The sequence below is a fragment of the Homo sapiens genome, chromosome 13 (genome assembly GCF_000001405.40).
Source record: "Homo sapiens chromosome 13, GRCh38.p14 Primary Assembly".
NCBI lineage: Eukaryota > Metazoa > Chordata > Mammalia > Primates > Hominidae > Homo > Homo sapiens.
The window spans coordinates 24,613,906-24,637,983 of record NC_000013.11 but is presented as its reverse complement, the minus strand read 5'-3'; the positions used below and the strand labels follow the sequence as shown (position 1 = coordinate 24,637,983).

General features: G+C 48.6%; 3 annotated features.

The window, feature by feature from the left end:
* Positions 6,434 to 7,013: an enhancer, noted in NCBI's record as "H3K27ac-H3K4me1 hESC enhancer chr13:25205109-25205688 (GRCh37/hg19 assembly coordinates)". NCBI's record gives its function as "activates a minimal SCP1, AML or CMV promoter by ChIP-STARR-seq in naive H9 embryonic stem cells {active_cell/tissue: H9 hESC(naive)}" and the evidence as "EXISTENCE:reporter gene assay evidence [ECO:0000049][PMID:30033119]".
* Positions 9,524 to 10,362: an enhancer, noted in NCBI's record as "H3K27ac-H3K4me1 hESC enhancer chr13:25201760-25202598 (GRCh37/hg19 assembly coordinates)". NCBI's record gives its function as "activates a minimal SCP1, AML or CMV promoter by ChIP-STARR-seq in primed H9 embryonic stem cells {active_cell/tissue: H9 hESC(primed)}" and the evidence as "EXISTENCE:reporter gene assay evidence [ECO:0000049][PMID:30033119]".
* Positions 23,539 to 24,039: an enhancer, noted in NCBI's record as "H3K4me1 hESC enhancer chr13:25188083-25188583 (GRCh37/hg19 assembly coordinates)". NCBI's record gives its function as "activates a minimal SCP1, AML or CMV promoter by ChIP-STARR-seq in primed H9 embryonic stem cells {active_cell/tissue: H9 hESC(primed)}" and the evidence as "EXISTENCE:reporter gene assay evidence [ECO:0000049][PMID:30033119]".

The following is a 24,078-nucleotide window of genomic DNA, read 5'->3' as shown; positions in this document are numbered from 1 at the left end:
TTAAGTTAATAAAAGCCGCTTTTACAGGAACTCACTGGTTTAGAGAGAGTCCACTCCACAGACACGGTGGAGCTGCGCCTCCAGAGCCAGTGTCTGGCACACCTGCCAGCCCCAGGCACGCGCGAACCTAAGCTGCAGGGGTCTTTGTGGATTCCCCCTCGTCCCTCAGCCCTCACCTCAGCTGACACACGGTGCTTCCCGCGCTCTACCCCACTTCCGGGCTTGGGAGATGAAATATTTGCGTAGTGGTCAAGAAGGACTATTTACCGACACCGGTTTTCCTCCCCAGTTCTCATCCGTTAAATTCACAGAATTAAATACTCTTGTGCATTGCTCTACTCTCAGTGTTTTTGTTTGTTTGTTTGTTTTTGTTGTTTGTTTGTTTTGTTTTTTTGAGACGGAGTCTCGATGTCGCCCAGGTTGGAGGGCAGTGGCGCGATCTCGGCTCACTGCAGACTCCGCCCCCCGGGGTTCACGCCATTCTCCTGCCTCAGCCTCCCGAGTAGCTGGGACTACAGGCGCCCGCCTAATTTTTTGTATTTTTAGTAGAGACGGGTTTTCACCGTGTTAGCCAGGATGGCCTCGATCTCCTGACCTCGTGATCCGCCCGCCTCGGCCTCCCAAAGTGCTGGGATTACAGGCATGAGCCACCGCGCCCGGCCTACTCTCAGCTTTTACAAAAATAACTTTGACCCTACGAATGGTCAGTGCATAGAAGGCTAATGTGTGGTTCAGCCTCGGGATATCAGAATTGGCCCCGATTGTCATGCAATACCCCTGCAGGGGAGGGGAGGATGTGGAAACCCTGACCTGGGCTACTGGGCCTTCTAGTGGGTTGGGGACTGCGTAATGAGTTTCCGTGGGTGAAAAGACTCCAGGGTGGGCTTTCCCACGGTGCCTCAGTGACTTCGTCCTCATTTGTCTGGAGCTTTGCTGGAGCAACATTGACCTCCCATTCAGCATCCTCTTCCCTCAGCTGCCATGCAGGCGCTCTGCCAGGCTCCAGGGTGCCCCTTCAGCTCAGCTCTCCAGACCTTGACTTACCGTATGCATGTGACCCTCATCTCAGTCAAATCCTCCAGCTGCGGTGAGGTGGGGAAGAGTCTTCAGTACTCTTCTGGATTCTGTGCATTTTATCCTATAAAAATTCTTTCTGGCCCCAAATGATTCAGATGCAGAAATTGGACCGCTATTGGCTCAGCTCCATGAAGAGGCAGCATGGAGTGAGGGTTCCCAGCCCTTTCACAGCCTTAATTTCCTCACCTGGAGGGTGGGGGACAACAGATTCACCTGGGAGGAAGCTCTCAACACGGGGGCTGGGAGACGCTGAACACTCAGGCAATGTAGCTATTCTTATGTCGTTTATGGAATAGATGCCTCTATTGAACATACCTTAATATATGCTGCAGGAGAGGCATTGATGAAAATATGTACATCTCCAAAGGGGTGTGTCAAGAGGGTAGCAATTACTTTATATAAGAAAGTGATGTCAGTTTATGAACTGATTTCAGAAAGAAATGCTTTCTCTTACTGAAACCCTGTGTATAAATGGAAAACATTTATGTGTAGTCATTGAAAAATAATTTAAGAATTCTAGAACCCAGTGTGGCGGATGCCTGTAATCCCAGCACTTTGGTAGGCCAAGGTGGGAGGATCGCTTGAGCCCAGGAGTTGGAGAACAGCCTGGACGACATAGTGAGCCCTCATCTAAAAAAAAAAAAAACAACAAAATCTATTCAGGCCATTTTTGGGACGAGGGTGATTATATATTTACACCCTTTTTTTTAAAATAGCAAGACAAAAGCTAGATGTGTTTAAAATATATGCTTAGGCCGGGCTTAATGGCACATGCCTGTAATCCTAGCATTTTGGGAGGCCAAGGCAGGTGGATCTCTTGTGCCCAGGAGTTTGAGACCAGCCTGGGTGGCATACTGAAACCCCATCTCTACAAAAAAATACAAACATTTGCTGGGTGTGGTGGCATGTGTCTGTAGTCCTAGCTACTTGGGAAGCTGAGGCAGGAAGATTGCTTGAGCCTGGGAGGCTGAGTTTGCAGGAGGCAGTAATTTTGCCACTGCACTCCAGTCTGGGTGACAGAGAGAGACCCTGTCTCAAAACAAACAAACAAAAAAGAAATATATGCTTATTACTTTTAAGTAAGCAAAAGTCAATAGAACACATGAAGTCAGTGAGAAAAATATTTCTTTGATTCATTGTATTGAAAAGATGAAAAAAAATTTGCAAGGGAATGTGAGGATAATTTTGAATGTGAGAACTGCCCTGTGTTCATAGCCCAAACAGGAGTAGTGGCAGAATGATGACAAATAGTTGTGCCCATATACCCATTCTGTGGGAAGTTGTACTTGTGAATTTTGCTAAAGCTTGAGTGAAGAAAACACACTTTCTTCTATATGAAATGGTGGTGTAAAGGGTGGATGGGGCAATGTTTCCAGCCTCTCCCTGCAGACACGTAGGCATTAAAGGCCTTTAGTGATCATAACAGGGATGCAGGAAGTATTGTCAAAGAGGAAAATCACCTTCCTAGTAATAAAGATTTGGTAAATGCTAATGCAACATGCAATTTTTTTGTCCCCAGTTAAACTATGCTACTTTGCCGTATCTTCCCCTTGCACCCAGTTTCAGCAGCAAATTCAGAGAAAGCCGCTCCTTCTGTTCATAAAGCCTCGCACTTCTTCTAATTCCTTCCCCTCAGTAAGGCCTCCCTTTTCCCACCTTCTTTTCTCTCCCTCTTTTTCTATCCCCATCTGCCTTTACAAAGCTTCCCTTTACATTCTGTACTCCTTGCCATATTCACTATTTTATTTTTTCTAGAGACAAGTTCTCTTTATGTTGCCCAGGCTGGTCTCATACTCCTGGCCTCAAGCAATCCTCCTGCCCTGGTCACCCAAAGTGCTGGGATTACAGGCTTGAGCCACTGAACTCTGCTCCTGATCAGTTCCACTACTATTTTTTCCTTCTTTTTTTTTTTTTTTTTTTTTTAGACAGAGTCTGTCTCAGGCTGGAGTGCAATGGCACAATCTTGGCTCACTGCAACTTCCGCCTCTCAGGTTCAAGTGGTTCTCCTTACTCAGCCTCTCAAGTAGCTGGGATTACAGGTGCCCGACACCACACCTGGTTAATTTTTGTATTTTTAGTAGAGATAGGGTGTCGCCATGTTGGCCAGGCTGCCCTCAAACTCCTGACCTCAAGTGATCCACCTGATTCAGCCTCCCAAAGTGCTGGGATTACAGCTGTGAGCCACCGCCTTTTTAAGAGTCTCACTATTTCTTAATTGTGTGCTGCTGATGACGAAAAGGGAATTCATCCCTAGTGCATGGAAACAGAGACACATCTTTGCAACAATAAAATTGACTGCAATTTAAGATGTCCCCTCCACTTTTCTTCACTTTTCAGTCTTTTAAAAAATCTGGGCCGGGCGTGGTGGCTCATGCCTGTAATCCCAGCACTTTGGGAGGCCAAGGCCGGCAGATCACGAGGTCAGGAGATCGAGGCCATCCTGGCTAACACGGTGAAACCCTGTCTCTACTAAAAATACAAAAAAAAAAAAAAAAATTAGCCAGGCATGGTGGTGGGCGCCTGTAGTCCCAGCTACTCAGGAGGCTGAGGCAGGAGAATGGCGTGAACCTGGGAGGCAGAGCTTGCAGTGAATCAAGATCGCACCACTGCACTCCAGCCTGGGCGACAGAGCAAGACTCTAGTCTCAAAAAACAAAAAACAAAACAAAACAAAAAAACTTAGATTTCTATTTGTTTATACTGTTTGGAACTTAAACATCTTGAATCTGAAGGTTTTTGAAAATTCTTAGCCAGTAACTCTTTGACTATTGCCCCTCACCCATCTCTTTCAGAAACATCTCTTAGTGTGAGAGACTTTCTTATTCTAGTTTGTGTGTCTAACTTCTCTTGCATATTTTAACTGATTTAACATACCTCTGTTATCGCAAATGTTTGAGGCTGTAATTTTGCTGTTGACTGTGTTTGCTGACTTCCACTCATTGTTGACAGTCTCCTTTAGGTTTTGTCATTTTTTATTATGAGCTCGTGTTTAGTTGGGCTTGCTTCCTCCTCAAGGATCTCTTGTGGCTTCCTTGTGAAAGTCCTTTCACATCAGTTTTGCAGTCAATTTTATGATATGTTGGCTTGGGGGCTGGGCATGGTGGCTCACGTCTATAATCCCAGCCTTCTGGGAGGCTGAAGTGGGAGGACTGCTTGAGTTTAGGAGATTGAGACCAAGCTGAGAAACATAGCAAGACCCTGTCTCTACAAAAACAAAAATTTAAAAAAAAAATTTTTTTTGGCTTGGGGATAGTCGGGTAATGGAAATTCAACCTCCATCCCTGCTTGAAGAGCAGGCCTGGGGTTCTGAATTGTCACCCAGTGCCTAGAGCAGGTAAACTTCCTTTCAGCAGCTTGTTCCAGTGGGGAAGTTCTTCCTAGTACATTCTCTCACATGAGGAGGGGTTTTGGAACTAAGTATGTTTTCAGTTCCAATCGTCCTCCCCATGAAGCTTCATCTTATCTTCTGTGCAAGCTCCCAGGGGACGAGGGCAGCCACAGCATCAGCTCACACACATATGGCACCATTTTCACCTCCCTCCTAGTTTTTGACACCTGAGAATTACTGCTCCCGTCCTCCCTTCTCTTTAAAGATCAGCCTTGCATAAAAAAGATATTCTATTTTAACAATTCTAGGGACTTCAGGCCATGTTAATCAGCCATATTGCCAGAAAGAGAAATCATCACTAATAAAAGAGGATAAACTGACTATGGTCCTTCTTTGGTTGTTTCTTCTTATCAGTGTTGACTGAATAACAAGCAGAGGCTGCTGGTGTTTTAACAACACGTTTTGCAGCACTCTATGCTACGTAGACTGTATATGTGCACCGTGTAGTCAGGTCTAGATGCCAATCCATAGCAAGCTCTTTGGAAGTGTGAGGGTGACCTCCCTTCAGCCTCTGCTGTTCCCATAGAAGGTAACAGTATATTCTAGCCATTCAGAGCCCGAGCTTTGGCCTCATCTGCATCTGGACTTCTGTCCCAGTTCTGTCACTGACTAGTAGTGAGATCATGGGCCAGTTATTTTATGAACTTTGGAATTCCCAGATATAAAGTTGAGACAATAATGCCTGCCTTGATTGATTAGAGTGAGAATTAAATGAGATACTGCATATAAAGTGTTTAGTGTATATACAGTGCCTGGCACTGAGTAACAGCTTCCAATAAATGGCAAGTGTTTCTGTCATTATTCCATCACCTCCCTTGAGACTAAGAAGAGTGAGGAAGCATTTCTAAGCTCAGCAACCCAACTCCTTGGTTCTAGAACCCAACTTCCTGACTCTCCTCTTGCTCCCTGTGGTGTGAGTCATACGGGAGGATGAGGTGGCCCAGGTTTTTGGTGCAGAGCCCTGGGTCCAGATCAGCTGTGTCCTGCTGGCTGTGGGCATGTGACAGCCTCTCTGAGACACATTTTCCTCTGCTGTGAGATGGGATACCCCCTACACATGGGGCAATTGTGAAGGATAAATGAAAGCGTGGCACACAGCAACCACTTGATTTTCAGGAAGTCTGAATCAAAGCACAGAAGGACAGGGAGCCCTCTGCAAGCAGGGCCTGTGCATCCTTCAGGCACTCGCGGTGCCTGCTCAGCAAAGGCTTGTGGAACAAATGAAATGCCCGTGGAACAGTGACTGTTTACTGGCAGCTGTTACTCTGTGCCAGGGACTGTATATACACTAAACACTGTATATGAAATATCTCATTTAATCCTCACTCTGATCAGGCAAAGCAGGTATTACTGTCCCAACTTTATATCTGGGAGGACTGAGGTTCATAGAATAATTGGCCTATGATCTCACCACTAGATTAGTTACAGAGCTGGGACGAAAGCCCAGATGTAGACGAAGGAGGAATGAGACTTGAATATAGTAGGGTAGGTAACAGTGGCCCAGCCTGAAGGACATGACTCCATGTTGTTACAGGAAAGAGGCCCTGATCCAGACCCGAAGGGAGGGTCCTTGGATTTCGTGCAAGAAAGAATTCAGGGTGCATCCATAGAGTAAAGTGAAAGCAAGTTTATTAGGAAAGTAAAGGAATAAAGGATGGCTACTCCATAGACAGAGCAGCCCCGAGGGCTGCTGGTGCCGATTTTTATGGTTATTTCTTGATGATATGCTAAACAAGGGAACGCCTCCCCACCACCATTTTTTTTTTTTTTTTTTGAGATGGAGTCTTGCTTTGTTGCCCAGGCTGCAGTGCAGTGGCGCCATCTTGGCTCACTGCAACCTCCACCTCCCAGGTTCAAGTGATTCTCCTGCCTCAGCCTCCCAAGTAGTTGCAATTACAGGCACGTGCCACCATGCCTGGCTAATTTTTGTATTTTTAGTAGAGACGGGGATTCACCATGTTGGTCAGGCTGGTCTTGAATTCCTAACCTTGTGATCTGCCTGTCTCAGCCTTCCAAAGTGCTGGGATTACAGGCGTGAGCCATTGCCCCCGGCTGCTTCCCCTTTTTAGACCATATAGGGTAACTTCCTGACGTTACTATAGCATTTGGAAACTCTTATGGCACTGGTGGGAGTGTAGCAGTGACGATGACCAGAGATCACTCTTGTGGCCATCTTGGTTTTGGTGGGTTTGGGCCGGATTCTTGACTGCAGCTTGTTTTATCAGCAAGGTTTTTATGGCCTGTATCTTGTGCTGAACTCCTATCTCATTCTGTGTCTTAGAATGCTTTAATCATTTGGGAATGCAGCCCAGTACGTCTTGTCCTCATTTTACCCATCTCCTATTCAAGATGGAGTTGTTCTGGTTCACACGCCTCTAACAATGTGGCAACAGGAAGTGAGAACTTGAGTGTTTACGTTTTAGTGGTCATGGTTTTGCTGTGTGTTTGTGTGTCTCAGAATAGGGACATTGTCTTCAACTTCTTTGTATTTCCAAAGTGTGCAAAGCAGGCCCTGGACAAAGGACCTGTCACTGATGCTGAATTCCTGACTCAAGGACCGCCCAGAGGTGGGTGGAAAGGTTCAGAGGCAAGCTGAGTCACTGCTGGGCTGATAGGGGAAAGACTCCTGGGCTGTGTTTCGGGTGAAGGGCGTGGAGCTCTTGAAAGAACTGACTTGATTCTCTTCCTACCTTGCATAAGAATTTTGAACTTGACATTTCCATTTCAATAGGAGGGGAAAATACAGTATAATGAGAGGTAAAGCAGTTCTTCCTCCTCAAGTGGCTCAAGTTTCACTTGGACAGTGGACAAAACTGTTCACATAAAGCCAGGACAAACTCACTTGGACATTGATCGAAGGCGTATAAACAGTGGGCAAGGTCTTTCGGTCGGTCAGTTTCTCTTGCTTTGTCCATCAGCCACCCATTCAGCATTTCCTCTCTACTTCTAACAGCCCTGTGCACCTGCGCTGTGCTGAAAGCCCCCTCTTACCCCCAGCTTCTCTGCACCAGAGGCACTACTGTGCCCATTTTTATAAATGGAAAGCTGAGGTCGGAGAAACTAAGGGGTTTGCCCAAGGAGGAGGAGGAGACATCGACACATGGGGGTGATTGGTGTGAAGCTCTGTCCATCATCTCCTGCGTGTGGGTTCCTATTCACCGCGTGCTGCTCAGGCAGAGCCCACTCAGGAGATCTGTGCTCCAGGCTCTCTTCCATCTCTCACTAACAAACTGTAGGGGCTCAGGAAGTCAGTTCCTCCCTTGGGGCTTGGCTTCTTCCTCTATTAAGCTGGGGGAGTTAATCAGATTTGCTTTGAGACCCAAGCTTCTATGATGCTCCGGGACTTAAGGGAATACAGATCTCTGAGGGCCCATCTTCCATGTCTCATCACCTCACATGCCTCTCCTGAAAGTCTCAGGAAAAGGAGCAGATGGAAAGATGACATAGGGACCTTATATTTATTAAAACCTAATTTGCCCCAGCTGGGAGCTGTTCATCAGCGTTCCTGATCTTCATTAGGCCTGATAACTAATTTGCTTTGAATTCTTGGTATTTATAAACCCTTCTTTATTCTAGGATTACTATCTGTCCACTCCTTATGTCTAGAATGCTTTTCTTTCCCCCCGGAGAACTAGAGTAAGAATGACTTACCTTCGGTGGCCCCCACAGGAATGCCCTACTGTGCTGAGTTTTTGTTAAGAAGCTGCAGAGAAGAAGGCAGGGTAGGAAGGTCAGCTTAAAAAGAATGACCTTGGATGATTTTCTCTCAAAAGGTTTGGAGATTGTTTCTGACTGTTTATTAATTTGGACCATTTTGGGGACCTCCAGCGCTGTGAAACCTTAGCTCTTTTTTCTGGACAGGGATAAAAACATCTTTCCTGCTACTTTCTGTGACTTTACAGGAAACTTTTGGCTGTGCAGGACTGTCCTGCTCAACAATCACTTTTAATGCTTAATTCAGGGTCAGAGCTCTATGGATGACTCATTGTCTCTAGAAGAATGTCAGGTCCAGAAGGATGCCCTTGGCCTGTAAATGCTTTAAAGCACCACTGGCAATTCAAAACCTTGCCCCCTTGATTTTACTGGCTTAAATCTTGTTTTGAAGTCTTAGATACTAGACTTTAAGAAAATTATGGGGCCGGGCATGGTGGCTCACTCCTGTAATTCCAGCACTTTGGGAGGCCTAGGAAGGTGGATCACCTAAGGTCAGGAGTTTGAGACCAGACTAGCCAACATGGTGAAACCCTGTCTCTACTAAAAATAGAAAAAATTAGCCAGGTGTGGTGGCAGGCACCTGTAATCCCAGCTACTTGGGAGGCTGAGGCAGGAGAATCGTTTGAACCCAGGGGGCAGAGGTTGCAGTTAGCAGAGATCGCGCCACTGCACTCCAGCCTGGGCAGCAAGAGCTAAACTCAGTCTCAAAAAAAAAAAAGAAAAGAAAAAAAAGAAAATTACAAGAAATTGTTTGAAGAGGCCCAAACCACCCAGTCTTGGCAATCCCCATGGCAGCAGTGGGGACCCTGGAACCTTCCAAGTTCACACTTTATGGAAATGCAGAGACTGAAGAGTTCTTAGTGTCATGCACGTCCGTGTGAAGAGACCACCAAACAGGCTTTGTGTGAGCAACAAGGCTGTATTTCACCTGGGTGTACGCAGGCTGAGTCCGAAAAGAGAGTCAGCCAAGGGTGGTGGGATTATCATTAGTTCTTATAGGTTTTGGGATAGGCAGTGGAGTTAGGAGCAATGTTTTGTGGGCAGCGGGTGGATCTCACAAAGTACATTCTCAAGGGTGAGGAGAACTACAAAGAACCTTCTTAAGGGTGGGGGAGATTACAAAGTACATTGATTGTTAGGGTGGGGCAGAAACAAATCACAATGGTGGAACATCATCAGTTAAGGCTATTTTCACTTCTTTTGTGGATCTTCAGTTGCCTCAAGCCATCTGGATGTATACATGCAGGTCACAGGGGATATGATGGCTTAACTTGGGCCCGGAGGCCTGACACGCAGGACTGGCGCTCCAGCCTCTTCCTCCAGCTAAACCTAAAATCGTATAAAACTCCCAGGCCTAAGGAGTTCAGTTAAATTCACATCAATTCAACAGATGTATAGCAAAACCTTGCATTATGGCAGGTAAAACTGGTTACTATATTTGCTAATGTCCTTAATGTCAGTGGCTCAACACAATGGAAGTTGCTTTCTCATGTGAGGTCCAGGGGAGGCGCAGTAGAGTGGGAGAGGAGGGGTTTCCTCACAGCTGTTCCGGAATAGGGCCCAGGGGAGGCTCTGCCATGTGGCCTCGCCCTGTGTGTCAACACCCAGCCTGGGGAAGGAGGAGGGAGAGAGAGTGGGAGCTATCTTTTAGGAGAGAGCCACGGGGCAGTCATGGTGCCTGCTGTTGCTGGTGCAGACTCACTCACATGGTTCTGGCTAGCTCAATGTGTGAGGAAATGGGGAAGCAGAGCCTCCGGGCAGATGCTTTCCTGCAATAGCCCTGCATTCTACGGGCGAGCAGGCTCTTCGGTGGCTATGTCTAGCTGTCTCTGCCACACACCTACTATGCGCATGGCATCAGCTCCCAGAGAGCTAACAGTGTAGCCAGTGAGGACGTGCGCTTTGCTAAAAGGAAATCTGTTTTGCTTCTCTCCCCTAAACCAGTCTGGCAGCCTAAAGGCTATTGGTTCAGGCTTCGGCCTGTTTTCCTCAAACGCTGTTTTCATCAGTCCCTGCCTTGCTGGGAACTCCTGGGGACTCCTTGCTACACCACGGACACCCTCTTTTGCCTTTTGCTTAATACCAAGGGTAATGTGGCCCCTACTCCTGGGCCGAGCTTATCTCTCATGTCCCTTTGCTCCCCCACAGGGAATCGATCCTGCCCTAGTGGGGTGTCTGCACCACCATGATCTACCCAACCTCTGGACCTCACATTTTTGAAGCCGGTCCAGCTCCACCTGCAAGGGTGAGGCCTCCCGGGCTTGGGCCAACTAGAACTTCTTTTGGCTGGCGCCGTCCTGCTCCCCAGTTGTTGGATGCCTGATTCGGTGTCTTTCCTTGAACTACCCGCTCTTTAGAGAACCAGGCTGACACAGAGTGCTCCTGCTTATTCCCTGCTCCGCGCCCTGCTCCCGCGGCTGGCCTGTAACCGACAACTTTGCCTCTGAAACCTTTGCCGGCCTCCTCCCCTCTTCCAGGAGCCCAGCGCCCTGTGCGGTGTCCCTTGCCACGGCGCCGTCTGGCGGTGGAGCCGGGCACCTGCAGGCTGGAGCCCACGTTGCCTGAGAACAGTCCCAGGGGAAGGGGAGGAGGGTCAGGGCTCCCCTTTTCTGATGGGATGCTGGCTCCATTGCAGCCACAGCTGGGGGTTCATCCCTCCTTTGTACGCACCCCTTTTCCCCGGAGTGCCTAGCGATGGATACAGACTTGCAGGTTACTTATTTAAAATCAAAACCAGCTGCGGCCAAAGTGTAGTGAGTACTCATCACTGGCTGGGCGTTTTATGGCCTGTGAGTTTCCATTATCCCAGTTAAATCTTCAACAGCCCGGTGCCCTAGGAATTATCATCCCCACTTTGCTAAGGAGAACCTGGGCTCCTCAGATGTTAGGAGGTGAAAATGACAGGCCAGTAGGTGTCAGAAGCAGGGCTCTGGACTCCAGCCTTCCGACTTCAAACCCTATGCTTTTAAAAATCATTCCATTTGCTTCACTAATTTTCTGTGAAAAATCACTGGTTTCCATAGTGGAAACTCACAAGTGGCAGCTAAGTGATTGGAGAACAATCATTAGTAGACCCAGGTTTAAATTCAGAATCTGTAATGGACTTCCTGGAAGACATTAACCTGCTAGGGTGTCAGTTTCCTGTCCCCACCCCGCACTGGGCAAACCAGATCAAATGTGCAAGGGCGCTGTGGAAGAAAGGTTTCTCTCCTCTGTAGTAATATCTTTTGCTAGAAAGGTTTTTTTAAATAAATGTATTCTAAGGGCAAGGAGAAACCAAATTTGAAATCCATTTGTCTGCAGTGCACTTGACCCAAGTTTTTTCTGGAATTTTGCTGTCTTTTCTGATGTCATAAACTCTAAACTAGCTGGGAAATTCAGATGACAAACACAGACTCTGCCTGGGCTCCAGGAGTGTGTCATGGGCAGCAGCAGTAGCAGCCGGACGTGCCATAGACCATGTCATCCTTGTGGCTTCACTCCTCTCCCTGATGTTGCAATGGACGCCCAAAAAGCCACCTGGTCCTGTCTTTTTCTGACTCCTGGGAGGGCCCACAAAGTAGAGACTACCAGTATTTGCATAGTTCTCTGCAGTGTACACAGCCCTTCTTAATCACAGCTACACGTTCAGCCTCTGCAATAACCCGGTGAGGTGGGTGTTGTCACACCCATTTTACATTTGAGGAGTTGGAAGTTCAGATGTTCAGTAACTTGACAAAGGTTTCATTCTAGTAAGTGGCAACACTCATTCTCAAACCCAGCTCTTTGGATACAGGCCTTGTCTTTCTTGCTACACCAACACGTACCCCACAAAATCTGCTCAGTGCTTGCACTGGCACTGTGGGGGCACCTGCCTCTGAAGGTGCAGAGAAGTCACCCTCCTTCCTCCATGAGGCCTCTCTCTCTTCCTCGCTCCCTCTCTCTTTCTCTATCTCTTGCTCTCCCTCTTTTCACATGTTTATTGAGTGCTTATTACATTTGTCAAAAGACAAAAATTACAACAAATGCAGTTTAAAGATCCTAATTGGCCTTTATTTGTGATTCTAGAATTGAGCAACACTCCATTCCATAAAATAGGAGTGTTTTGATAAGGCCAGCAGAGGGGGTTGACTTTTTAAACAGAAAAAGGCTGAGGAAAACAGAAACAGGAAGCAGAAGGCGGGTTGGTTATTAGAAAGTAGTTTTTCTCGTAAAGGTTAAAGAAGAGGGGACTTCTTCCTGCTTGTTAAAACCGACCTGTTTGGGGATTTGGCTATTATCTCTCTCTCCTGATCTCTTGGAAGGTCAAATAAACAACTTAGTTTCAGTTTGGTGTCATGAAAGTTTGGCAGGAGTAACTCCATTTTGGTTTGCTCTGTTGGGTCTATTGCAGGAGCTCAGCCCAAACCAATGGCTTCCTATAAGTTCATTTAACAAATCTCAGACTTTGTCCTAGGTGCTGGAGATATAACAGTGAACAAAGCTTACATAAATCTTGGAACTTATTTTCTAGAGGAAGAAGATAGAAAATAAATTATTTGGCTGTTGGTGGTAAGTGCTAGGAAATTAAATATGCTGTCATCTTCTCTCACACAAGCTGGTTCATTTAAGAAGGAAAGAACCAAGTGAGATGTGGAAAGCCTGTGCAATCTTTGTTTATGTGAAGCCAGAGGGATCTTTTCAGAAGCTTGGATCTGATCCTGTCTGTTCTCCCCACCAAACACAAGCTCTCTTCCCCGCTTCCTGTGGCTCTGGAGAGCCTCCCCACCCCCGTCACCCCTCCTGGGCTGAACAGCTTCCAGGCTCCTCAGCCTCTCCAGCCTTCCTCACTCTCAGGCCCCCTGAGGTCCCGCTCACTGACCTGACCTGGTCCAACCTGGACCCCACTCCTTCCCCAAGGACTTACTTGCCACTCCCTGGCTGGGCCAGGCCTGGTGCTCTGCCCCCAACGCAGGGCTTCCCTCCACCCGTTCAGCTGCTCAGCTGTGGGAGCTCGGCTCAACGCCCTTCCTTGGGAGATGGCAGCCAGCCCTCCCCACTGCCCCACTGCCCCGATTTCAGACCCCATGTTCCTTTTTCTTTCACAGCCCTGATCACAGTGGCAAATTCACCCTCCTTGGTGTGGTTGGTTAATGATTCTCTCTCTGGATGCTGGCCCCCAGGGTGGGACCTGATGGGATCTATTCATCCAGCCCCAGTCCAGGGCCTGAACCCTGGTGGAATCCCCCCAGAGGCCACTGTGTGTCCGGAATTGGTGGGTTCTTGGTCTCACTGACTTCAAGAATGAAGCCGCCGACCCTCGCGGTGAGTGTTATAGTTCTTAAAGACGGTGTGACCAGAGTTTGTTCCTTCTGATGTTCGGACGTGTTCAGAGTTCCTTCCATTCTGGTGGGTTCGTGGTCTCGCTAGCTCAGGAGTGAAGACACAGACTTTCACGGTAAGTGTTATAGCTCTTAAGGCAGCGCATCTGGAGTTGTTCATTCCTCCCGGTGGGTTCATGGTCTTGCTGGCCTCAGGAGTGAAGCTGCAGACCTTCGCAGTGAGTGTTTACAGCTCATAAAGGCAGTGCAGATGCAAAGAGTGAGCAGCAGCAACATTTATTGCAAAGAGCAAAATAACAAACCTTCCACACTGTGGAAGAGGACCCGAGTGGGTTGCCACTGCTGGCTCAGGCAGCCTGCTTTTATTCCCTTATCTGACCCCACCTACATCCTGCTGATTGGTCCATTTTACAGAGAGCTGATTGGTCCATTTTGACAGGGTGCTGATTGGTGCATTTACAAACCTTGAGCTAGACACAGAATGCTGATTGGTGCATTTACAATCCTCTAGCCAGACATAAAAGTTCTCCAAGTCCCCACCAGATTAGCTAGACACAGAGCACTGATTTGTACGTTTACAAACCTTTAGCTAGACACAGAGTGCTGACTGGTGTATTTACAATCCTTTAGCTAGACATAAAAGTTTTCCAAGTCCCCACCAGATTAGCTAGATACAGATGCTGATTGGTGCATCCACGAACCTGGAGCTAGACACAGAGTGCTGATTGGTGCATATACAATCCTCCAGCTAGACATAAAAGTTCTGCAAGTCCCTACCTGACTCAGGAGCCCAGCTGGCTTCGCCTAATGGATCCTGTGCTGGGGCCATCCCATGCTGCGCAGGAGCCCACCACAGGGGAGGGGGTGTGGGGGCCTCAGGCATGGTGGGCTGCAGGTCCTGAGCCCTGCCCCACGGGGAGGCAGCTGAAGCCCAGCAAGAATTTGAGCATGACATGGGCGGGCCAGCAGTGCTGGGGGACCAGGTGCCCCCTCCACAGCTGCTGGCCCGGGTGCTAAGCCCATCACTGCCTGGCGTCGGCTGCGCCAGCAGGCCGCTCTGAGTGTGGGCGCGTTGAGCCCGTGCCCACCCGGTACTCACAATGGCCCCAGAGTGCCACATGCAGCCCCGGTTCCCGCCCGCGCCTCTCCCTCCACATCTCCCCGCAAGCAGAGGGAGCCAGCTCCAGCCTAGGCCAGGCCAGAGAGGGGATCCCACAGTGCAGCAGTGAGTTGAAGGGCTCCTCAAGCATGGCCAGAGCAGACTCCAAGGCCAGAGCATGCTGCGGCCCTGGCTACAGATCCACTAGGCAAAACCAGCTGTGCTCCTGAGTCGGGTGGGGACTTGGAGAACTTTTATGTCTAGCTGGAGGATTGTAAATGCACCAATCAGCACTCTGTGTCTAGCTCAAGGTTTGTAAACACACCAATCAGCACCCTGTGTCCAGCTCAAGGTTTGTAAACACACCAATCAGTGCTCTGTGTCTAGCTAATCTAGTGGGGACTTGGAGAAGTTTTGTATCTAGCTAAAGGATTGTAAATGGACCAATCATCTCTCTGTAAAACGGACCAATCAGCTCTCTGTAAAATGGACCAATCAGCTCTCTGTAAAATGGACCAATCAGCAGGATGTGGGTGGGGTCAGATAAGGGAATAAAAGCAGGCTGCCCCGAGGCAGCAGTGGCAACCCACTGGGGTCTCCTATCCACACTGTGGAAGCTTTGTTCTTTCACAGTAAATCATGCTGCTGCTCACTTTTGGGGTTGGTGCCACCTTTATGAGCTGTAACACTCCCTGTGAAGGTCTGCTGTTTCACTCCTGAGGCCAGTGAGACCACGAACCCACCAGGAGGGATGAGAACAACTCCGGATGGGAGGAATGAACAACTCCGGGTGGGCCACCTTTATGAGCTGTAACATTCACCTCGAAGGTCTGCAGCTTCACTTCTGTGGCCAGCGAGAACACAAACCCACCGGAAGGAATGAACAACTTCAGATGCACTGCCTTTAAGAACTCTAACACTCACTGTGAGGGTGTGTGGCTTAATTCTTAAAGTCAGTGAGACCAAGAACCCACCAATTCCAGACACAGGACCACAAGCACATGCCACTTCACCCAGCTTATTTACATTTTTTAAAAGGGAATTTATCTGAGAATCATATAAAGACATGACAGAACATGTCATAGGCCACTTTACACAATAAAATAGGCAATAATATGCATATTTTTGCGAGTATCAGGCATAGTAATGACAGTCTTACAGGTGTAACAGTTGTTAACAGATGAACTGTGTTCATAAAGAAATAGGTCAGGCCGGGCGCAGTGGCTCGCGCCTGTAATCCGTGCACTTTGGAAGGCCGAGGCAGGTGGATCACGAGGTCAGGAGATCGAGTCCATCCTGGCTAACATGGTGAAACCCCGTCTCTACTAAAAAATACAAAAAATTGGCTGGGCGTCGTGGCGGGCCCCTGTAGTCCCAGCTACTCGGGAGGCTGAGGCAGGAGAATGGCGTGAACCCAGGAGGCGGAGCTTCCAGTGAGCCAAGATCGTGCCACTGCACTCCAGCCTGGGGGACAGAGCGAGACTGCATCTCAAAAAAAAAAAAAAAAAAAACGTCAAAAAGGGAAATTTACAAACATTTATCACTATGGTTGCTAACTGTGTGCACCCAGGTTTGTAAGTGAAATACTGTGACAGGCCAGGAACGGTGGCTCATGCCTGTAATCCCAGCACTTTTGGAGGCCGAGGCGGGTGGATAACCTGAGGTCAGGAGTTGACCAGCCTGGCCAACATGATGAAATCCCATCTCTACTAAAAATACAAAAAATCAGCCGGGTCTGGTGGTGGGCACCCATAATCCCAGCAACTCGGGAGGCTGAGGCAGGAGAATTGCTTGAACCCAGAAGGTGAAGGTTGCAGTGAGCCGAGATCACACCATTGCACTCCAGCCTGTGCGACAAGAGCGCAACTCTGTCTCAAAAAACAACAAACAAACAACTGTGACGGACAATCTAAGCCTTGATGAGTTTAATCAAGAACCACAATAGGTCACTGCCACAGTCCTGCACAGAGTTGAAATCTTGAGAAATTTTATGATGAAATCAATTAAAAATATAATAGGTCACCACTGCAGTCCCCCAAAGAGCTGAGATCTTGAGAAATTTCACCTTTTCCCAAATGCAGATGTACAAAAACAAAATCTCTTCATTTGTTGAGGAAGTTTCAAAGTTTTTGTGTACATATGCAATACAGAGTCAACCTGGGGTGCTGGTAGCCTGGCTCAGGCTGAAAGCCTCAGGACCCAAGGGGTGGCTAGTGTTTGAGTCTTGAAGTCCAAAGGCTGGCAAGCCTGGAGTTCCAGTGTCCCAGGCAATAGAAGAAAATCCTTTCCCAGCTCTCAGGGTGAGACCAATTCTCCTTCCGAATTTGTTCTCTCTGGGCCCCAACTGACGGGATAGTGCCCGCCAACATTGAGAGTGGATCTTTCCTACCTAGTCCACTCATGCTCACACCCTAATCCCCTCTGGAAACACTGTCACAGATGCACCCAAAATAATGCTTTACCAGGTTTCTAGATATTCCTTAATTCAGTCACATTGATGCCTAAAATGGTCGCCCCTTGTCAATTTGGCGCTCATACACGCCTCCTGCACAGCCTGCACAAGGCACTGTGGTGCGGCTATCCCGTGATTAGAATTTTAGATGTTAGGGATTTTAGACTTTAGGGACTTAGAAGTTAAGGGTTTTGATCTTTAGGAATTTTGGTCCTTCCAGATTTTAAAATTCTGGATTATGGCATTTGGGATTTTTGTGTCTTTTGGATTATGATCCAAATTCCTTCAATTATTTGCCTCCTGCCTGCTTCCTGGAATGATCAAAATTCTCTCCCTGAGATATCTGCATCCCCATGTTCATTGCAGCACTATTCGCAATAGGCAAGACATGGAATCAACCTCGGTGTTCATCAATGGATGAATTAATAAAGAGAATTTGGTACATATATGCAATGCAATAACTATTCAGCCAGAAGAAAGAAAGAGATCCTGTCATTTGCAGCCACATGGATGGAACTGGAGGTCATTATCTCAGGTGAAACAAGCCAGGCACAGAAAGACAAATATCACACATTCTCACTCATTTGTGGGAACTAAAAAGTTCATCTCATAGAGGGTGAGAGTAGATTGGTGGTTACTAGAGCCTGGGAAAGGGTAGCAAAGTAGGGAGATGAAGAGAGGTCGGTAAATGGGTATAAGAATATAGATATATAGGCCGGGCATGGTTGCCCACGCCTGTAATCCCAGCACTTTGGGAGGTTGAGGCGGGCGGATCATGCGGTCAGGAGATGGAGACCATTCTGGCTAACACGGTGAAACCCCATCTCTACTAAAAAATATAAAAAATTAACCAGGCATGGTGGTGGGTGCCTGTAGTCCCAGCTACTTGGGAGGCTGAGGCCCTCTCAGCTGTGTGTGGCCTTGGGGTGGGGAACCCAATCTAGGCTCCAGGGTTAGACACATCTGGCATGATAATTTTGGAAAGCAACCTGAAAATATAACCAAAACCCACAATTCACTCAAACCCTATAACATAATAACACCGCCTATAAAAAAATATTACAATGAAATAACTGACAAGAAAAAAACATTTCCCTGTAATCCAATAATATATAGTTAAAAAGTCCAAGTAAAAACTAATATTCTCCTGTTTAGATATGGGGAAAGTTATTATAAGGAAAAAATGTAAAAACAAAACAAAACAGAACAGGCCGGGTATGGTGGTTCACGCCTGTAATCCCAGAACTTAGGGAGACCAAGGCAGGGGGATTGCTGGAGGCCAGGAGCTCGAGAACTAGGCAACATTGCGAGAACTCGTTTCTCAAAAAAAAAAAAAAAAAAAAAAGGAAGAAAAAGAAAACAGTTAGCTAGGTGTGGTGGCACCTGCCTGTAGTCTCAGTTACTCCTGAAGCTGAGGCAGAAGGATTGCTTGAGTGCAGGGGATAGAGGCTGTAGTAAGCTATGATTGTGCAACTTCACTTCAGCCTGAGCAACGGAGTGAGACTTTGTCTCAAAAAGTAAAGAAAAAAAAAAAAAAAGAAGAACAGAACATCAGAACACAAGATATGCTCATGCTGACCACGGGATTTAGTATTTACCTTTGGTCGCTAAAGAGAAACGAAAGAACATACTAAGATATGAATGGTGGGCATTTTGAAGTTATGAAACTTTAATGCTGTGTAAAGAAGTTTAGGTAGAGAATACTATACAGTAAAATTTGAACATAATTTTAAAGTTAAAAACACATGCTACTTAACAAAATAGGCAATCCACACATAGATAATGAAGGGTTGATGCATTCCGGCATGTTTTTGGCTGTGAACATGTTTGTTATTGATTCAAAATTGTGCACAAGTGTTGCTATCGACAAAAACAAGTGCTTTTGCCCAGTGCCTCTTTTCATTTTTAGCTCCCAGGAGAACGGAGGTGGCCTTGTTCTAGTCCTCCTGCTCTCTGGCGGAACAGCTCACATGTGTGGAGCTGGGGTGTGGGGCCAGGCCTGTGTCTGGATGAGGCTTCCTCAGGCCCCAGATAAACTACAGACACCCCCAGGCCTCTGCGCACGCCTGGCGAGAAAAGGGGACTTCACAGAGGACTCAGGTGTCACCTCAGCGGCGTTCTGCAGCTGCTGCTGCTGGCTGTATTGTCCACACCTTTCATATTAAGGGTGGGATCCCTCACTGTCTGTGACCTCAGAACTACCTCAAAATGCAAATAATCAACTAACAAGCCTGTTACTTCCGGGATCCCAGCCACACAGCAGAGCTTCCTGTGTGGGATTTCTTATTCTAACTGCAGCCCTCCAAGCACGTGCATGAATCACGCTTGTTGTACTAACACGGAAACTGAGGTGCAGAGACTTCAAAGACTTGGTCAGGGCCCCTCAGCCAGGAAGTGGCAGAGCCAGTGGTGAGCCCTCTGTGCTTCTCAGGCTGTCTTTGTCATGAAAGAGGCAGCCGGGACCCCACAGAGCTTCTCCTTGGCGGGGAGTTTTCATTAGGCCCTGGCCTTCCCTGTGTGTGTAATGGAAACACCTCGTGTATTTCACCACTGTCCGGGTTGGGGCATAAGTGTCCTTCAAAGCACAGTCCCATTACGTCCCTTTCTATGGCAGGTTGAAGCCCTCTGCAGGAGTGATATGAGTGTATGACTCTTTCCTAGGTGAGAAGGCCCAGCAATCATCAAAACCATGGTGGAGACATCTTTGCATCTATTGTCTCATCTTCCTCCTGCATCATATGTGCTTGGGAAGTTCTAGAGGCTTGGGTGGTGGGTGTGTGGTGGTGAAGGGTGTCCTGTGGGGGCTGGGCCATCCTTGGTGTTGGGTGTGTGGTGGTGGAGGGTTTCCTTATGGAGCCTGGGCCGTCCTTGGTTGTCAGTGTGTGATAGGGGAGGGTGTTCACAGAGGTTGCACTGTTCTTGGCAAGTGGGTGCTGCTGTCCTGGTTGACTGTCAGGGAACTAAAATGCGGTGTGTGTCAAGAGACTGGAAGGAAGGAATGTCGGTGGGGCAATGGCCCGAGGCTCTACTGAATTCCGCTGTCTGTCCTATTCTTCCATGCTGGGGAAGAATAGGAAGGATCAGGGTAGGGAGGGCCCCAAACACGGAAATGCTGAGGCATTTGTCCCAGAGCCGCTGCCCACACAAGGTGGGTCATAGGCCCACAGATATGTGGAGGCCAGGGCTTCCCTGTGAGGAGCAGGCAGGGCCCTGCCCCCTACTCTTCAGGCACAGAGGCTCCCAGAGGTTCTTGTCAGTAGGGAAATATTAGTGCCAGCATGATCCTTTTAGAAGTGTGTGAAACAGGCAATAAGCCACCTTTTAACCTATAATGTAGGAGTCAGTGGGAGCAGCAGGCTCCTCTGGGAAATACTAACATGTGAAATGGAAGCCAGGCAGCCTCCCAGACGCAGGTGCATCTGCATCCCGAGGCGCTTTGTTACTTGGCAGTACGTGATTGACAGAAATCCAGATTCCTATAGATCAACTGCCAGAAATTTAAAAATGCCAGAAATTTAAAAATGTCTTGATTTCCTGCCTCGGGATATTTTAAACTTAACGAGGACAGATTTATTTTTAAGTCTAAGTAAGAACACATTAACTTAACAACCAAAGTTAAATTTTCAGTTATCTCCAGTGTATTTATATGTTGGCTGCTGCTATGTCTTCAAATGTGTTTTCTTTTCTTTCTTTCTTTCTTTTTTTTTTTTTTTTTTTTGAGATGAAGTCTCACTCTGTTGCCCAGGCTGGAGTACGGTGGTGCGATTTTGATTCACTGCAAGTTCCACCTCCCGAGTTCCAGGAATTCTCCTGCCTCAGCCTCCCAAGTAGCTGGGATTACAGGTGCCCGCCACCACGCCTGGCTAATTTTTGTATTTTTCGTAGAGATGTGGTTTCACCCTGTTGGCCAGGCTGGTCTTGAACTCCTGACCTCAGGTGATCTGCCCGCCTCGGTCTCCCAAAATGCTGGGATTACAGGCTCAAAAATGCATTTAATATCACAATAAGCCCACTGTAAAGCCAAAAGAAAGTAAGTCCAGGAACATCTGTACTAAGAAGGAGTGGGAGCAACTGGCAGCTGTGTGGACTGACACTGTCCCCGAGGCTGGCACTGGGTACATTCGGAGACGAAGGGCTCCCTGTAGGCTCTCTCCTGTCTACCTCCTACATCACCCTGAGCTCTGGGTTCATTGATACAGCTGCCCACCTTTCACCAGATTTGGGTGTCTAGTAGGAGGCTCAAGCTCAGGAACAAACAGAATCTGTGACCTTCCCCCGGCTCCCCCAAACTGGTGTACCCCCAGACCAAATTATTCTCTTGGTGAAACCCTCCAATCACTATTCATTAACCTTAAAATGAAATCCACCTTTCTTACCAAGGCCTATGACCTGGGCATCAAAGTGAGGTCCACAGTCTGAGCACCCCCTGGGCTTGGTGGAGCAGATGCTCAGGCCCCCAGGATCAAGGCTGCATTTGAACAAGATGCTGGCTGTTCTGCACAAGGAGTTTGAGACTCGACAACCCTCTTCCAGCTCTAAACTTCTCAGGGTCACTGTACCCCTGGGGCAAGGGCCTCAGTCTTGGAGCCCTCGAGCTTCCCCCGGGAGCCTTTGCACCTGGAAGCCTTGCTGTCATGTCACCAGCCATGAGCCAGGAGGCGTGGGGTCCAGTGGGGGCTTGGCAGTGAGTAGTTATGGAGCCTGGACCAGCTGCTTCCCATCCTTGGTCCCTTTCTGGGACATGCACAGTGGTCTCTGGGTTTGCCAGGTGTGACTGGGCAGATAGTGGATTTGGGAACCATGAGAGACAGCCCTGGGCTCAGGCCTGGGTGGGCGTGTCTCCTACTCCAGCGAGTAAGCCCCATGTTGGCCCTTTCCAGAATGACCCCACAGACCTACAGGCCTAGGCCCCCAGTAAAGGCATAACTACCAGGGGTCCCGGGGGCCCCAAGGCCTCTCATCCCCAGCCCTGCATGAGAAGCTGCCCCGGGAACCAGGGCCTCCTCCCCTCACACCTCCCTTCTGGGCCTTGGCCCACCCTGCGCTGTGTGTCCATCAGTGAGTGAGGACAGATGGATACATATTGGGCTGTGTTTTGGCATCTGTTGGTGGTGGGGATGGGACTTCTAGACACTCAGGGTCAGCAGCGTCAACCCAGAGGCCACAGAGCAGCAGTGTGAATGCACAGATTGCTGCCTGGAGACCCCAGGCAGCAGGAACTGCATACTCAGGCTTTTTTTTTTTTTTTTTTTTAAGTAGGATGTGACTTCCTTCTATCTTGGCCCAGAGACTTGCTGCTACTAAAAGGGACTGGGTCACTGACCTCTGTCTAGTGAGGAACATTTCTGAAAAGGTTTTAGCAGGCTGAAGAGCAGAAGCCACCTTGAGGTTAGCAGAGCTGCTGGGACTCCTGCGGTGTTTTTGTCTCTCAGACAAACCCCTGGAGCAGCAGGTAATGCCCAGGACACCCTCTCCACTCCACTTCCACCCATGGGTTCCTCTTCCTAAACTGATGCCTCTCAAATTCCGCGTGGCCAATACTTTGCATGTTGTTCTCTGGCCTTGCTCGCGTGGCCAATACTTTGCATGTTGTTCTCTGGCCTTGTTCTCATTCTAAACACCTGAAAAACTCCCTCTTCCTGCCTCTCTCCCGCATCCACATTCCACACCCCAAGGGCTAGGTCAGTCCCAGCCCCGCCTTGAAGGTATCCCTAAGGGCTCTGGCCTGAGCACCATCTCACTGGCCTGGGGGTCCTCCCTCTGTTCTAGTTTGTCCGGAGTGTTTGGCACTCGGTTCTGCACTGTCTTCTATGCAGCTTCCCGTGTGCTGATGTGGCCTCCCCACATGCCTGTGTGATCTCTGGGTTAGAGGCCATGTCTCTATAGTCAATTACATGCACAAAGCATTTATGGGTCATCTAATACCTGTGTCTGCAAAGCGCTGTGCTTGGGAGTGTGTGTGTGAAGCAAAACGTGTGCATCTAATACCTGTAAATGCAAAGCATGTGCATCTGTGTGTGTGAGACACATCGAGGTTAACAACCCACACATCCTGCTCTGAGGAGCTCAGTCTAGAAGGGAGGGTAAACCGTGGCACAAATGACTAAGATGGGAGGCAAAGGAGGAAGACAACAGAGAAGGGCTGGGAAAGACCTTCGAGGAGTGAGTGGCCTCTGGAGTGGGTCTGAGAAGTGAAGTGAGTTCCACTTGGGGCCTCAGCAGAAAGAAGGAGGATTGAGAGAGGTCCCTTCCCTTCCGAGGAGGGAGTGCAGGTGTGTGTCGGGGGGGCGGGTGTGGAGAGCTCCAATTTGACTGGGGGCTGGCTCTGGCCATGCTCAGGGAGTCCTCTCAGGTGTTGGGGGTCCTCAGTGTGGCTCGGAGGCCTGGCCCACAGACACCACCTGCCTCTCTCTGTCCAGGAGGTCAGGTGGAGCCACGTCGGGGCCTTGGAGACTCGGCTGAGAGGTGTGATGGAAGATGGGGCGTGATGGAAGATGGGACATGAAAGTGCTGCGGCTGCACTGACATTCTTATGGCCCTCACTCCAAGCACTTCTCACCACTCAAACCAGCGGCCCCAAGTAAAGCTTTTGGGGGCACTGAGAGTCCATGCCTGAGTGAGGTACTGAAGGACAGACTCAGTGATGGGAGAGCACATTGATTTTCTCAATGCCTATGGCTCTATTTTCTCCCACTCCAAAGAACCAAGGCAAAATTCAGCATAAGTCAAGGTCCAGGCTTTGAAAGAAATCCAGGTGTTTGTTCTCCTGTAAAAGGAGCACGTCATAAACCCAGCACACACCCCAGGCCTGAGACGCCCACTCCTTCCTACCAGGGGAACCTGGCCATGTTCTTCGTGGAGAAGGCACCTCCAGCAGGTGGCCACCACAGCAGCATCCGGTGTGACTCAGTGGCCCCTGAGCTGGCATGTCTGCTGGGCCTGCTCCCTCCCACACTCGAGCTGCCTTCAGCCAGGGACAGCTCCCACTCCAGGTCCTCGATCCTCTGGGCCGGTGGACTCTCGTCACCACCAGCTCCAGTGCGTGGGGT